Source organism: Homo sapiens, chromosome 17 (genome assembly GCF_000001405.40).
Source record: "Homo sapiens chromosome 17, GRCh38.p14 Primary Assembly".
NCBI lineage: Eukaryota > Metazoa > Chordata > Mammalia > Primates > Hominidae > Homo > Homo sapiens.
The window spans coordinates 74,372,898-74,388,981 of record NC_000017.11 but is presented as its reverse complement, the minus strand read 5'-3'; the positions used below and the strand labels follow the sequence as shown (position 1 = coordinate 74,388,981).

Genomic DNA, 16,084 nt, shown 5'->3' with positions numbered 1-16,084 from the left:
TGTGAGTGGTCAGAGAGCCCGGGGAGCCAAGATTCCGTGGGGCCCAGAAACTGCGGTGTCAGCTGGACAGGATTTAGCACAGCAAGGGCAGTAAGACTGGTGTGGCTGGATGTGTCTGCCCTTTCGAAGCCAAAGGAAGGTATCCGATTGACCAGAGCCTGGAGGAGAGAGCCTGGGAACTGCTGCTAGAACCTCAGAGAGGCAACAGAGGGTTCTGGACCTGGCTCCCTCTCCTCCCAGTAAGGACCATAAGCACTGTAGATGCTAGGATGAAACCAAGGTGCCTTTTGCCAAATTTGAGTTGTTACCAACCAAGCAGCTCTGTCAGGGAAGCATTTTGTCTCGCAACTCCTTCGTTTTTGCATGTTTTCATCCCATTTCCTCTAAACCTTCTGGCTTCTAAACCACTAAGGCCCCCTTTCTCCCAGGGACTCCATCTTCACATCTTCAAACCTCTACTGTTGGCTGGGTGCGGTGGCTCACGCCTGTAATCCCAGCACTTTGGGAGGCCGAGGCGGGTGGACCATGAGGTCAGGTGTTTGAGACCAGCCTGGACAACACAGTGAAACTCCTTCTCTACTAAAAATACAAAAAATTAGCCAGGGGTGGTGGCAGGTGCCTGTAATTCCAGCTACTTGGGAGGCTGAGGCAGGAGAATCGCTTGAACCTGGGAAGAGGAGGTTGCAGTGAGCTGAGATCACGTCGCGCCATTGCACTCCAGCCTGGGTGACAGTGCGAGACTCCGTTTCAAACAAAACAAAACAAAAAAACCCTCTACTGTTTTCCTCTCTCCTTCTGCTCCTGCCCAGCCCAGGTTGCATTCCTTTCCCTTTAGCTTTCAGGGCCCAAGCCTTCTGCTGGCCTCCTTTCTGGAGAAAAGAAGGAAGAGAGGAGGCTGAGGACATGAAGCTGAGACGCCTGCAGGCTGCATGCGGAGACCCTCGTGTTGCCATCTCCTGCAGCAGCAGCGCAGAGTCAGAAGGGCCACCTACTGAGGTGGGGGCGGTGAGGGGCCAACTCCCCTCCCTGGCTCATGCTCCTCCTGTATAATATTTTGTGGTTGATGGGATGGTCCCAGGCTCTGAGACTGAAGTCTTTATTGGGTTGTGACCACACCCCTTGTGGATGGCCTGGGGATTTTCAGCCCAAAGCTGAGCCAAGCCCTTGGAAAAATCAACACGCACACCTGTTTCTCACAGATAGTCTTTTTTTCTTTGTAGGTGTGGCTCTTCCATCTTGAGGTCATAGAGGAACTGAGGCAGGAGGGAGAGGGACCAGAATGCCACAGGGATCACCCAGCCAGCCCGCTCGTATAGCGGCCACTTTTCAAGAGTGATTTCTTCGGCTTCTTTCCTTCCACAGGCCCGAGAAACCACCCACACTCCCCTGATCGGCTGGAACCCAGGGGAGCCGGCCTTAATCCTGGCCTCCCTGGGGCTCAAAAGAATCTGGATCACAACAGGTAGGGTTAGATTACTTGGGCCAGCGCCTCACTTCGCAGATGTAGAAACTGGGGCTTAGGGAGGGGCCTAGGGCCATGAGGCCAGTCCGGGACATGGTGGGACAGGCAGCCTGGACACCTGGCCCCCCAGGTCCACCTGACCTCCCCAGCCACCGCTGTTTCCCTGGGGTACCGTTCTTACACCATAAATCCCTTTCACTGTGTAGCCCTATAATATGGTCAAGGGAGTAACTCTGGGGACAGGGATGGAGTCCATGGGACGGGCTTAGAATTCTGCCTTCCGTAGTGCCTGAGGCTCCTGACCCTCCCCACCTGGTTGGATCCCCAGGCGGCTCCTGGGAGGAAGTGCCCTTCCCCACCATTGACTGCCCCTCCTCTCAGTGAGATCCGACAGCCGTCCCCAGTATGTTAATTATAACAATGTAACCCCGTGGGGTGCAGGCTCCCCCGACTCTCACCCTTCCAAACCAACGCCAGGTCCCTCCTGGCCAAGCTGGCCCAGACCCACAAGTCTCTCAGCCAGTGGTTCCAGGCTCCAACCAAGGACCTGGGATTCTTGCAGGATGCCAGAGAAGAGGTGGCCAAGAGAACCCAGCGGCGTCGTTCTCATTACAGGGGCCTCCTCAGCGAAGACCCCTCACTCTCTTCTGGCTTTCCTCTCTGGTTTCCTCACTGACGTCATAAAAATTTGTATTCATTCATTCAATAAATACTTATTGAGAACATGCCCAAAGTACTGGGGTAATTAAGAGTGGGAGACAAGGAGGCAAAAATGAGTCAGCTGTGAACTTTGCCTGCGGAAGGCTGAGACCGGCAGATTCCTGTCCAGGTTCTGAAACTTACTAGTTCTGTGACCTTAGCTACGTCAGCTCACTTTTCTGATTCCCAGTTTACTTGTCTGAAAAACTAGGATGATAATCACAGATTGCTGGTGAGAGACTGACTCTACAAATGGCCAGCGGCCAGACCAGACATAAAAATAGATCTCTGACCCACAATCTGCAGCAACCAGCCCAGGAAGCCCCGCCATCCTCTACAACGACCAGCCCAGGAAGCCAGCCTGCTGTCTGCTAGCTACAAGTCATACTTGCGGAAGTCAGGCGATCAGTTCTAATGACTGGTCCAAGAAGTCAACCAATTGACTCCACTTGGCCAGGACTTGATTTGTAATCGACAGTTTCCCTAATTCTCATCCCTGCTTCCAATTTATCCCCATTTCCAAGAAAAAGCCAAATATGGGCTGGATGCAGGGGCTCACACCTATGATCCCAGCACTTTGGGAGGCTAATGCGGGTGGATCTCTTGAGCCCAGGAATTTGAGACCAGCCTGGGCAATGTAGTGAGACCCCATCTCTACAAAAAATATAAAAATTAGCCAGGTGTGGTGGCACACACCTGTAGTCCCAGCTACCTGGGAGGCCGAGGTGGGAGGATTGCTTGAGCCCATGAAGTTGAGGCTGCAGCGAGCCCAGATGGCACCACTGCACTCCAGCCTGGGCAACAGAGTGAGACACTGTCTCAAAAAAAAAAAAAAAAAAGTAAAGCCAAGTATGCCCCTCTAACCAATCCCATAGGATGCCCTGTCCTCTTCTAGTGAGCTGCTTCCAGCTTCCTAGGCCCACAGCCTCCATCAAGGTAAACCTGAAGCTTCCCTTTCCTTTCCCCCTCCCCTCCCCTCCCCTCCTTTCCTTCTTCCTTTTTTTCTGTTCTTTTCTTTCTCTCTTTCTCTCTTTCTTTCTTTCTTTCTTTCTTTCTTTCTTTCTTTCTTTCTTTCTTTCTTTTCCTTCTTTCCTTCTTTCTTCCTTTCTTTCTCTCTTTCTTTCTTTCCTTTCTTCTCTCTCTTTTTTCTTTCTTCTCCTTCTTCTTCTTTTTTTTCAGGGTCTCATTCTCACCCATGCTGGCATTCAGAGGCACGATCACAGCTCACTGCATCCTTGACCTCCCGGCTCAGGTGATCCTCCCACCTCAAGCCTCCCAAGTAGGTAGGACTACAGGTGCATGCCACCACACTCTGCTAATTTTTTGTATTTTTTGTAGGGATGGGGTTTTGCCATGTTGCCCAGGCTGGTCTTGAACTCTTAGGCTCAAGTGAGCCCCCTGCCTCGGCCTCCCAAAGTGCTGGGATAACAGGTGGGAGCCCCCATGCCTGGCTGAGTCACACAAAAACAAACAAAAACTTACCTTCCTTTTGTTCCCAAATAGCCAGCTGTCATCTCACATGCTTACTTTATCTTACGTAAAACATATATTTATTAAGCACACCTCTTTTCCTGTGTAAAATGTGGATTCAGTGAGTACTAATCAAAGCCTCACAGGAACATAACAACTTCCCTCATTGCCTGCTCTCCCTCCCTTTTCCTTTTCCTTCCCCTGCTGCCTGCTCTCCCTCCCTTTGTCCTTTCTTCCTTCCCTTCCTTCCTGCTCTTCCCTCTTTAAATTTTTTTTTTTTTTTTGAGACGGAGTCTTGCTCTTGTCGCCCAGGCTGGAGTGCAGTATCGTGATCTCGGCTCACTGCAACCTCTGCCTCCTGGATTCAAGAGATTCTCCTGCCTCAGCCTCCCAAGTAGCTGGGATTACAGGTGCCTGCCACCACGCCTAGCTAATTTTTGTATTTTTAGTAGAGACGGAGTTTCGTCATGTTGGCCAGCCGGGTCTCAAACTCCTGACCTCAGGTGATCCTCCTGCCTCAGCCTCCCAAAGTGCTGGGATTATAGGCATGAGCCACCGCGGCCAGCCCCCTCTTTAAATGTTGAAGTCCTCAAATCTCCTGGGAAAAAGCACAGGCCACAGATCCTACTGCAACTCGTGTTTCTCTTCCTCTGGCGCGTCCTCGACCTTGGCAAATAATCCTCTGAATCGATGGAGTTCTGTCACAGATACTTTTTGGCTTACGCCACCCGAGAGCTTCCCTACCCCGCCCGCCTTTGAGTCCCTCTCAAACACAGGTGGTGGTGGCTGCCCCCTTGTTACCCAGCAAGCCCTGAATCATGGCCTTTGCGCCTTCTCATTCATGTTCTCTGTTTATTTCCACGTTGGAGTAGAGGAGTGAGGGAGTGTGGAAGAGCTGGTGAGAGTCCAGAACTCCAGAAATATGAGGTGGAAAGTCCACGGGCAGGAGAGCAGCTGGAGACTCCACATCACCGTGGGAGCTTCCTCCAGGCCACTGAGCCGAGCTCTGGCGTGGACACTGGTGTGGAGCAGCCTCCTCACATGCAGCCACTCGAGCCCTGTAAGGACAGGACCCTGCGCCCCTTGGCATCAGAAGAAGGGCAAAGGGAGTCTGGGCGCGGTGGCTCATGCTTGTAATTCTAGCACTTTGAGAGGCCGAGGCGGGCAGATCACTTGAGGTCAGGAGTTCGAGACCAGCCTGGCTAACATGGTGAAATCCCATCTTTACTAAAAATAGAAAAAATTAGCCAGGTGTGGTGGTGGGCACCTGTAGTCCCAGCTACTCGGGAGGCTGAGGCAGGAGATTCGCTTGAACCCAGGAGGCGGAGGTTGCAGGGAGCACTCCACAGCACTCCAGCCTGGGCGACAGAGCGAGACTCAGCCTCAAATAAATAAATAAATAAATAGGCCAGGTGCAGTGGCTCACGCCTGTAATCCCAGCACTTTGGGAGGCCAAGGTGGGAGGATCACCAGAGGTCAGGAGTTTGAGATCAGCCTGGCCAACATGGCGAAACCCTGTCTCTACTAAAAATACAAAAATTAGCTGGGCGTGGTGGTGGGCGCCTGTAGTCCCAGCTACATGGAGGCTGAGGCAGGAGAATTGCTTGAACCCAGGAAGCAGAGGTTGCAGTGAGCCGAGATTGTGCCACTGCACTCCAGTCTGGGAGACAGAGCAAGATTCTGTCTTAAAAAAAAAAAAAAAAGAAAGAAAGAAGTGGGGCAAGGGGGCCCAAGCAAGAAGAGCCTCAGAGGGTGGGGCCAGGCTACCAGGCCGGCCAGGGCAGTGCCTCTCTGTCCATCTCAATCACCCTTCCCTTCCGACCACCTCTGGGTACATGTCCAGAGCCCAGAGGGATACCTCTGAAACTCTGGACCCAGGGCTAAGCCCCCATGGACACAGGATGCTCACGGGGAGGGGTAGCTGAAGCCCCCATTCTCAAATCTCCTAGGGGATTATGTCATGACAGAGTGGAGCGCTGCTGCTTCTCTCTCTAAGCCTCTTGCACAATCCTCCTTCTTGCTAGAAGTGTTCCAGGGACCACAGAGGGTGTGAGCATTCCCTCCCTCTGCCCCCAGGTCTCCTCCAAACCCAGTGTACCCTGCAGAGGCTTCTGGTAGCCCTCCAGCTGCTCCCTGGCCTCCCTGTCTCTCGCCTGGGCTATCCCTCTGGCCTCCTAAGGGGTCTCCGGCCTCCTGATGTTTCAGTTCATCCTCCCTAATACCACCAGCAGGATCTTTCTAGAACATACCCTTAAGAACCATCAGGAGCTCAGTGTGCTGTATGAAGACCTTCAGTGTCAGTACCAGCCCATCATTCCAACGTTATCTTCCATCACCCCCTTTCTACCCACTAGGTCCCGGCCACACCAAACTACTCATCGTTTTTATCTAACTCCCAGCATTAGAGTTAAGGGGTATGTGCTCCTGTGTGCTGAGACACACAAAAGACTGACTGACTTCACCTTGAACCTGCCTTCTAGATCCAGGCTCTGCTAACTCTAGCATCTCCCTATGCCTTGCACACAATGGCGAGATGTACAGAAGGCAGAGAGCAACCGGCCGATTAAAATCCTGTTTTCCCCACTAACTAGTGTTCTTTGGTCAAATTGCTTAAACTCTCTGGCCCTCAGTATGTCCATGTATAAAATGGAAATAACAAGAATTCCTGCCTCGTAGGGTTATTGTGAGAATGGAATGAGACAGTGCATATAAGAAACTAGGCCTGGCGGGGTGTGCTGGCTCACGCCTGTAATCCCAGCACTTTGGGAGGCCAAGGCGGGTGGATCACCTGAGGTCAGGAGTTCAAGACCAGCCTGGCCAACGTGGTGAAACCCCGTCTCTACTAAAAATACAAAAATTAGCCAGTCGTGGTGGTGGGCACCTGTAATTCCAGCTACTTGGGAGGCTGAGGCAGGAGAATCGCTTAAACCCAGGAGGCGGAGGTTGCAGTGAGCCGAGATCGTGCCATTGCACTCCAACTTGGGTGACAAGAGCAAAACTCCATCTCCAAAAAAAAAAAAAAAAAAAAGAAAGAAAGAAAGTGAGCCTGGGAGGTGGGTGTGGTGGCCTATGCCTGTAATCCCAGCACTTTTTGGGGCAGAAGCCGAAGGATTGCTTGGGGCCAGGAGTTCAAGACTAGCCTGGGCAATATAGCGAGACCCCATCTCTAAATAAAGAAAAACAGACAAAAAAACACAGAGCCCAGTGCCTGGCACATGGAGATGCTCACAGGCTGTCTGTATTCTGTTAGGTGCCTCCCATCAGTGAGCTCTGTTTCTCCTGCTTCTACTCTGAACTAAGGCTTAGGTGCTTCACGGGGAATTGTAAGTTTGGTAGCATTTATTTTATTTTATTTATTTATTTTTTAAAGACGGAGTCTCCCTCTGTCACCCAGGCTGGAGTGCAGTGGCGAGATCGGGGCTCACTGCAACCTCTGCCTCACGGGTTCAAGCGATTCTCCCACCTCAGCGCCTGCCCTTACAGGCACCCGCCACCACGCCCAGATAATTTTTGTATTTTTAGTAGAGATGGCGCTTCACCATGTTGACCGGGCTGGTCTTGAACTCCTGACCTTGAGTGATCCGCTTGCCTAGGCCTCCCAAAGTGCTGGGATTACAGGCGTGAACCACCGTGCCTGGACGAAGCTGGGTAAGAGAAGTGACCATAGATTTAATGTAGCTCAACCTCCACATTTTACAGGCAAGATAACTGAGACTCTGAGATTAGAAACGACTCTCTTAAGATCACGTGGTGAGTGGGTGTGGCAGAAGGGCCTGGCTTTTGTATTCATTTTGCCTCAAATCACAGAGCAGTTTATGTGCCTTTATTGACTTTTATTTTCCTCCAGAAATAATATCAAGTCAAATAGTGTCCTTATAATTTGCAGGTATTAGGAGAGGGCCCTTTGGGAAAGGGTTGCATTAGCTGCCTCCCTTGAGGGTTCATGACACAGAAAGTTCTAGAAAAGTGACTGCCCCTGGTTAGGGGAATCAAAACAGCATCAGCTGGCATGGCTGGGTGGTGAGCGAACCCTGGATTGCTTCCACAGTGGGCCGCGCTAACTGTGGCAAATCAAGTCTTTCTCTGCCAGCTGGAGGAGCTGCTACTCTGATGCGCAGGTACCCAAGGCCTCAGCAGGTGTGGCTGGAATGCCACTGGGTCGGGAAAATGAGGTCTAGGACAAGCATGAGGCTCTCTTGGGTCTAACTGAGCTGATCCATTCACCTGGGAAGAAGAAGAAGGGAGGCGCCATGGAGACAAGCCAATAGGACCAAGCCCTTTGTCCTGGTCCCTGGGGACAATCCTGAGGCTGGGAAGCCAAGATCTGCAGAGTTATTCTTGGGACCTAGGGAAGGGTACAGACACTCCCGTTAAAAAAGCAAGCGAGCAAACCAAACGTCTTCCTTGTGAACTGAACCTCCAGAGGTCCCAGGTACTTGGAGGAATTGGAATAAGGTGAATCACAGGTTTCCCCACTTAGAGTCAAAATACAGCCCTTAGCAACCAGTCCCGCCTAGTGGTTACCTACTGAATACATTGCTCTCCCTGAGGGCAGAGTCCTTGGAAATAATCTCTAAGGAGGACATAGAAAAACCTGTCTGCCCTTGTCTCCACTGGCCACACCAGAGCTGCTGTCCCAGAATGAAAGCACAGCTCTGAGAGGGTGGTCACCTGGACTGGCCAGGGCTATGCTCCCACGGTGCTCCCTGGTCAGGGGTCCCAGCCATTTCAATAGGTGGTAGAAGCTCTTCTAGCCAGCCCTGCCCCATCACCTTCACCGTTAAGCTGTTTCCAGCCCTTTTCCACAATCCTTCGACATCCCTGGGAGACAGAGTCACTGGGCCCTTCTTTCATGGATACAGAGCAAGCTCCTCCCCCAACCCCACACACAGGGCCTCAAAGTCCTCTCTGAGACCGCAGCCTTCCCTAGGCTGTGGTTAAAGCCACTTAAAGCCAACTCCCGTACCTGCCCCTTCCCTCCATCTAGATGGGTCCCTTCCTCCATCCTACCCGGCTCCTGTGGCACTGCCTGCCTGCCCCTCCCTCCGAAGAGCGGTGTGGTAAGGCAGGGGCTGCGGTGCCAGGGCATCTTGGCACGCCTCTCCCGCCCCACCCCGCCCCGCCTGCTAAATATATATCTTGGAGGAGTCCTGGAAGGAGCCGCCACAGATGTGATTAACTCTTTCACCTCCAGCACCGTGGAGAGAGGGCAGGCTGGAAGGAGCAGTGGGAAGTGGGGGTACCCAAGTCCTGCCCAGGCTCAGCTGGGGGATGGGAGGACTCGGCCCCTCACGCCAGGCTGGGAGGACGGGGTCCTGGGATCCCAGAGACGCTGACTGAAGCCCTGAGGCTCCGCAGCCTGGCAGGCCAAGCTCCCCAGAGTGGGGAAGGCAGGTGAGCAGAACCCGAGGCCAGCAGGAGGGGCTGGCAGGACCCTGCGAAGGAGAGTGGAGAGAGGAGGGCGATGAACGATGAAAGGGCCCTTCACACCACTCTGCACAGGAAACCACCAAAGTCATCTGAGAAAATTGCAGGGCCCTGCAGCCCCGTGGCTGGCCAGCCCCAGCGTGGCAGACGTGGCTTTAGGGTGGAGGAGACTGACAGAGGGTACAAAGCCCTCCCACCCAACTACTCGGTGCTGGCTGCTGGCCCAGGGCAGGCAGTTTCTTTGCAGTAACTCGATCTTCCTTTGAACCTTGGCTTAAAGGCCCGCCCTCCCACTCCCTGGCCCGACCGTCCAGCCAGTCCTGCAGCGCCCCCTGCTGTCTGAGCTGACAGGGACATGCAAAAGGAGGAGGTGGGCAGAAAACCCGCCAGGGAGCTCAGGCCACCCCCAGCGACAAGGAGGCCAGGGAAGCAAGATTTCCAAGACACCCCCATGCCAAGGGCTGTCCCTTGGTCCCTGCCAGCCAGCACCTCTGTAATCTGGCCAACCAAAGTGCTCAATGTTTTCTTTTTTTTTTGAGACAGTGTCTGGCTCTGTCGTCCAGGCTGGAGTGCAGTGGTGTGATCTCAGCTCGCTGCAGCCTCAAACTCCTGGGCTCAAGTGATCCTTCCACCTTAGCCTCCTGAGCAGCTGGGATTACAGGTGCCCACCACCATGCCCGGCTAAATTTTTTTTATTTTTATTTTTGGTGGAGACAGGGTTTCGCCACGTTGCCCAGGCTGCTCTCGAACACCTGGTCTCAAGTCATTCTCCTGCCTTGCCTCCAAAGTGCTAGGGTTATAGGCCTGAACCACTGTGCCCAGCTGGCTAAATGCTTAATTTGGAAAATATGGTCTTGCTTTCTGGGCCAGGGTGCTGAATGGATTCTGCACGATCCCTCTGGAAGCTTGTCTCCCCGTCCCCATCATGTCACCCACCCCACCACTGGTAAAGCCACCTCCTCGGCCCGGGCATGGTGACAGGAAGGGAGCCTTGTCACCTTGTCAGAATCGAGGGACACTCATGTCTGTGGACTGGAGCTCCCATGAAAGATCCCAGAGCAGAAGCGACAGATGTGGCTCCCTTTTATCCAGCCAGCATGCCTCCTCTTTCGGACTGAAAAAAAGAGGGGAAGGGGAAGAGGAGCAGAGCACTCATGGGGGAGGACCAAAGTGAGCATGGGAGTCAGAGAGAGGGGCAGAGGCTGCGTGTGTGGTGGGGCCTGAGACCATGCCCCGGAAGCAACCTGGTTGCGTTGATATCCATTCCAGAGACAAAAAGAAATGTGCTGCTCAGGCCGGGCGCGGTGGCTCACGCCTGTAATCCCAGCACTTTGGGAGGCCGAGGCGGGCAGATCACCTGAGGTCGGGAGTTCGAGACCAGCCTGGCCAACACAGTGAAACCCCTGTCTCTACTAAAAATACAACAATCAGCTGGGTGTGCTGGCACGCACCTGTAATCCCAGCTACTCGGGAGGCTGAGGCAGGAGAATAGCTTGAACCCAGGAGGCGGAGGTTGCAGTGAGCTGAGATCGAGATCGCGCCACTGCACTCCAGCCTTGGCGACAGAGCAAGACTCCATCTCATAAAAAAAAGAAAAAAGAAAGAAACGTGCTGCTAAGGGGGAGTGTGCAGTGATAGCACTGCAAACCGGAGCGACTGGGAAACCCAACACAGAGGGAAAGAGCTGTTTGAGGTCTGAGCAATGAGGAAGCCAGGAAAGGTGCCAGTGGCAGCAGGACACCCCGCCAGAGAGCACATAAGAGTGGCCGAGGGAAAAGGGGGCCCGAAACCCAATTGTGATTAAGAAAGTCAAGAAGGCCAGTGCCGTGGCTCACACCTGTAATCCCAGCACTTTGGGAGGCTGATGCAGGAGGATCGCCTGAGCTTAGGAGTTGGAGACCAGCATGGGCAACATAGGGAGACCTCGTCTCTACAAACAAACAAACAAAAAATTAGCGAGGCATGGTGGTGCATGCCTGTGGTCCCAGCTACTTGGGAGGCTGAGGCCAGAGAATTGCTTGAGCCTGGGAGGTTGAGGCTGCAGTGAGCCGTGGTCGTGCCACTGCACTCCAGCCTGGGTGGCAGAGCGAGACCCTGTTTCCTAAAAGGAAAAGAGGCCTGTAATTCCAGCACTTTGGGAGGCCGAGGCAGACACATCACTTGAGCCCAGAAATTCAGGAGCAGCCTGGGCAACATGGTGCAACCCCCACTCAGAAAGAAAGAAAGAGAGGAAGGAAGGAAGGAGGGAGGGAGGGAGGGAGGAAAGGAAGGAAGGAAGGAAACGAACGAGAAAGAAAATAACCTTTTCTGAATGAAAAGATACTCTCAGTGTGGAAATTAAAAGGCCCACCTCCAGGTACCTGTTCAACAAGGGTGAATCTTCAAAAACTTCAAGATCTTCCAGGAAGAAAGGAGAGATCATGTTTAAAGATACGAGACTGGCTTTGAGTCCTGTTACGCCAGCCAAGGAGAAGAGAAAGGTGGGGATAGTTCGTATACAGCCAAGAGAAAAGTGACTTTTATTAAAGCCTGGATCCACAGCCAAGGAACATTTGTCCTTAAAATACCCATAGTTTCCCCCAACCCAAATTCATATGTTGAAGACCTTCCCCAGGTTGGATGAGAGCCCATCGTAACAGCCTCGTTTGAACTTCATCACCTCTTTCAAGGCCCTATCTTCAAATGCCGTCCCATTTTGAGGTACTGGGGACACAGGGAGAAGGTGACCTTCTGCAGGGCAAGGAGAGAGGCCTCAGAAGAAACCCAAGCTGCTAACACCTTCTTCTTTTCCTTTTCAGACAAGGTCGCCCTTTACTCTGTCATCCAGGCTGGGGTGCAGTGGCGTGGTCTTGGCTCACTGCAGCCTCGACCTCCTAGGCTCAGGTGATCCTCCACTACATCCAGCTGTTTTTGTATTTTTGGTAGAGACAGGGTCTTCCTATGCTGTTTAGCCTGGTCTTGAACTCCTGGGCTCAAGTGATCCCCCTGCCTCAGCCTTCAAAAGTGCTGGGATTATAGGTGTGAGCCACTACATTTGGTCAATACATTGTTTTGAACTTCCAGCCTCCAGAACTGTAAGAAAACACATTTCTGGCCAGGCAGGGTGGCTCACGCCTATAATCCCAGCACTTTGGGAGGCTGAAGCAGGTGAATCACTTGAGGTCAGGAGTTCGAGACCAGCCTGGCCAACATGCGAAACCCTGTCTCTACTGAAAATACAAAAATTAGCCAGACGTGGTAATGCATGCCTGTAGTCCTAGCTACTTGGGAAGCTGAGGCAGCAGGATCACTTGAACCCAGGAGGTGGAGGTTGCAGCGAGCCGAGATTGTGCCACTGCACTCCAGCCTGGGCGACAGAGTAAGACTCCATCTCAAAAACAAACAAACAAACAAACAAAAACTCATATGTTGTTTAAGCCACCCAGTCTGCGGTATTTTTTTAATGCAGCCCTTGAAAACTAATAGAGTCCAGAAAACAATTTGTCAACCAACTTCCAAACAGCAAAAATCATATATACCCTTGGGAAGAAATGAAAGACATGTGAGCAATAACCATCCTCAGATATTAACAAAGGACAAATGATAGACCGTAAGATCAAACAGCACATCAAACCTGTGGTGGGAATTGTTAGGAAAGAAACTCAGAATTTCAAAAAGGATTTTCTTTAGCTAAGATATTTCAGCAGATGAGTGGGTAGGCTATGGAGGGAGAAGGGAAGAAGGAGAAACTGAAACCATTTAAGTCTTTCTCTCCTCTAGAAGCCAGTTTGGCAGATTTAATAATACTTTTCATTTACATTTCAGTGACATGCTTACCAAGGTGATTATCACTTTATTTTATTAAAGGTTACACAAATGCTAAAAAGAAACTGTTACCTAATGTGTTTTTTCTCTTTTTTTTTTGAGTCGAAGTTTCACTCTTGTTGCCCAGGTTGGAGTTCCATGGTGTTTCTATGGCGCGATCTCAGCTCGCTGCAACCTCCGTCTCCTGGGTTCAAGCGATTCTCCTGCCTCAGCCTCTGAGAACTTGGAATTACAGGTGTCCACCACCACGCCCAGCTAGTTTTTGTATTTGTTAGTAGAGATGGGGTTTCACCATGTTGGCCAGGCTGGTCTCGAACTCCTGACCCGAAGTGATCCGCCCACCTCTGCCTCCCAAAGTGCTGGGATTACAGGCGTGAGCCACCACACCTGACCACCTAATGCATTTTATTAGGAAAATGTGATACTGGTTCTCAAATCTGATAAGTCCAGCACTAGAAAGTTCTAAGCAATGCAAAAGATCCCCGAGAGCGGTCTGCCTCTAATCTTCTACATCTGAGAGCACCTGCAAGGTGTGGGGTGGAACAGACAATGGACCAGGAACCAGGAGACTTGGGTTTGAGTGTCAGTGCTGCTCTTGACCAGCTTTGGGCTAGGGGCATACCATTTAATCTCTCTGTGCCTCAATTTCCTAAGTTTGTAAAACAGTTACAATACTCCATATGCAGGGTTGTTTGAAAAAGTCACTGACTGCCCCAGCCTGTCGGTACAAGTGAGGTTATAGCAATATTAACACTGGGGTTATGGTGGCTCAATGCAAAATTGTTTCAACCAGCCTGGCCAACATGGTGGAACCCCGTCTCTACTAAAAATAAAAAAATTAGCTGGATGTGGTGGTGTGCGCTTGTAGTCCCAGCTACTTGGGAGGCTGAGGCAGGAAAGTCACTTGAACCCAGGAGGCGGAGGTTGCAGTGAGCTGAGATCACACCACTGCACTCCAGCCTGAGCGACTGGGCAACAGAGCGAGACTCCATGTCAACAAAACAAAACAAAACAAAACAAAACTGTGTCTTGAAAGAGCCTCCCCAACAGTTTCTGGAAGTTCCTGGTTTCACTGGTGCTCAGAGACAGTTGAGCTAATATTGCAGCTGGCCTCCTGAAAGACAGCCCCCCAGCCAGCTGAGGAAGGCATCCTGCCTCTGGCCTAGACCCAGCTGCTGTTGCCATCCATGGAGACACAGATGCTCTTCCCTGATACTGGGTTCTCTCCTGCAGGGTCCCTGCAGGTTGTTCCATTTAGTTCTTCATCCATGGAACTTTGTGCTTTCTTCCCGTGCCCGCTTCTGTAGGGCAGGCTCAGGCTGGGCTGGGGCCGACATTATCTGGTCCTCCGGTGGACCTTCTCCCTCCCCGGGTACCTGCATTTGCATCCCCCTCCTCCTTAAGCAAAGAATAAAGCGCAGGTGCATCAACCCTGCCTGGGGATACATCTGTGTGTGCACATGGAGGTGTGGGCGGGTGAGGGGGTCCTCCATCCTTAACACCTGCTCAGGGTCAGTGTAGACCACCCCGGAGCAGAAGTGTTGGGCTTACAGGTCTTCAGTCCTTTCTCTGAACTCGGCACCACATGTCTTGGAATTCAGAATACGTCAGAGCAGAGGAAGGTGCTGTGTGCATGTAGTGGTGCGCGTTCGATCACGATTCCGTGGGGTGTGGACAGCAGTACATGATCACTCCACTAACAGTCCCTGGTGGGGCTGGCAGGACTCACAATCACAGGACAACTTCGGGACCAGAAATCACCTCACACCGGGTCACGCTGTGCCGCTAAACGTGTTTGTGGCACATTTCGGAAACATGTTTTGGTTTTCAGAGTTTTTTGGAGTTGAGAATCATGGCAAATGCATTGGAGACCCACATTATCCTCTTTCTGGGTTAGCTGAACCTCCCTGTCTGGACATCCCTGCTCTGGGGAGAAGCAGAGAGGCAAAGTGGAAAGCCAAGCATTGATTCTGCATTGACTGTGTGCTGGGTGCACAAACAGCTCTTTGACTGATGTCATCCCACTAAGAGGGTGGGGGCAGGTCTGAACCTCCCATTCAGGACAAAGGTCAGCTCAGCCTGACCAGGAAGCAGAAAGTGGTCCTAGCTCAGCTGCTAATGTGTTTACCCACAGCCTGGAGCAGCTGGGAGTTCCATCTGCTGATCTCTCCCAGCTGCCTCTCCGGGATGGTGGTGCTGAGAGGAGAGAGGGGCCCTGGAGAGCCTCCCTGGAGAGGCTGAGGGTGGGGAGCAGAGCTCCTCATGGCTCTGATGGACTCTGCCAACTCCCGCCTCCCAGTGGTGGAGGAAAAGACCTTTCCCCAAGGGGCGTGAGCTCGGGGGGCTCAGCAGAAGCTCAGGGTCATCTCCAGCTAGGTCCTCCTTTCCTGTTCTCCTAGTACCCTGGGTTAAGAGACCATTTTCTTTCTCCTCATTGGCAACAACAAAAACTATAGCCCCAGTGCTGGTTCTGGGCCCATGAACCTGTACTGGTTTAGGGCAGGGAGTAATGTGGAATCCAACCAGGGTGTTTGAGACCTAAGGGGCTGTGTCTCCTGTGGCTGGACAGACACAGGCCTGGGCTCCTCACATCTGATTTAAGATCACCCCTTTCTGACTGGCCCTGGGGGCTTTTATCCCCCAAGCAGCCCCCTCCCATTGCTCAGCTCAATTTCTTTGTTTCCTCCAGCCTAAGAAATGCCTTAAGTCCTGAAGATATCTTCCTTTTCAAACTCTGGCATTGCCACTAGGAGCTGGAGAGGTGATCCATTCAGGGAATGAGAAGCAGGCACCAGGAAAGGGGGGTGGGCTGGAGACAATTCACATCCATCCATCCATCCATCCATCCATCTATCCATCCATCCATCCATCTGTCCTTTTTTGTTTTTGTTTTTGTTTTTGTTTTTTTGAGACGGAGTCTCACTCTGTCGCCCAGGCTGGAGTGCAGTGGCGGGATCTCGGCTCACCGCAAGCTCCGCCTTCCGGGTTCACGCCATTCTCCTGCCTCAGCCTCCCGAGTAGCTGGGACTACAGGCGCCCGCCACTGCGTCCAGCTAATTTTTTGTATTTTTAGTAGAGACAGGGTTTCACTGTGGTCTCGATCTCCTGACCTCGTGATCCGCCTGCCTCAGCCTCCCAACGTGCTGGGATTACAGGCGTGAGCCACCGCACCCGGCCTCCATCTGTCCGTTTTTCTATCCATTCAACCAACATTAATCTGGC

General features: G+C 52.3%; 1 long non-coding RNA gene across 1 annotated transcript, besides 2 other annotated features; it reads right to left on the bottom strand.

The window, feature by feature from the left end:
- Positions 1,322-2,216: an enhancer, noted in NCBI's record as "H3K4me1 hESC enhancer chr17:72382905-72383799 (GRCh37/hg19 assembly coordinates)". NCBI's record gives its function as "activates a minimal SCP1, AML or CMV promoter by ChIP-STARR-seq in naive H9 embryonic stem cells {active_cell/tissue: H9 hESC(naive)}" and the evidence as "EXISTENCE:reporter gene assay evidence [ECO:0000049][PMID:30033119]".
- Positions 7,440-8,728, bottom strand: LOC124904055 (uncharacterized). Its single transcript, XR_007065898.1, has 2 exons — positions 8,642-8,728; positions 7,440-7,976 (listed from the first exon to the last, which is right to left on the bottom strand). It is a non-coding gene; the product is annotated as an uncharacterized LOC124904055 (long non-coding RNA).
- Positions 9,367-9,466: a silencer, noted in NCBI's record as "silent region_8931". NCBI's record gives its function as "represses an Ori minimal core promoter by ATAC-STARR-seq in GM12878 lymphoblastoid cells {active_cell/tissue: GM12878}" and the evidence as "EXISTENCE:reporter gene assay evidence [ECO:0000049][PMID:35858748]".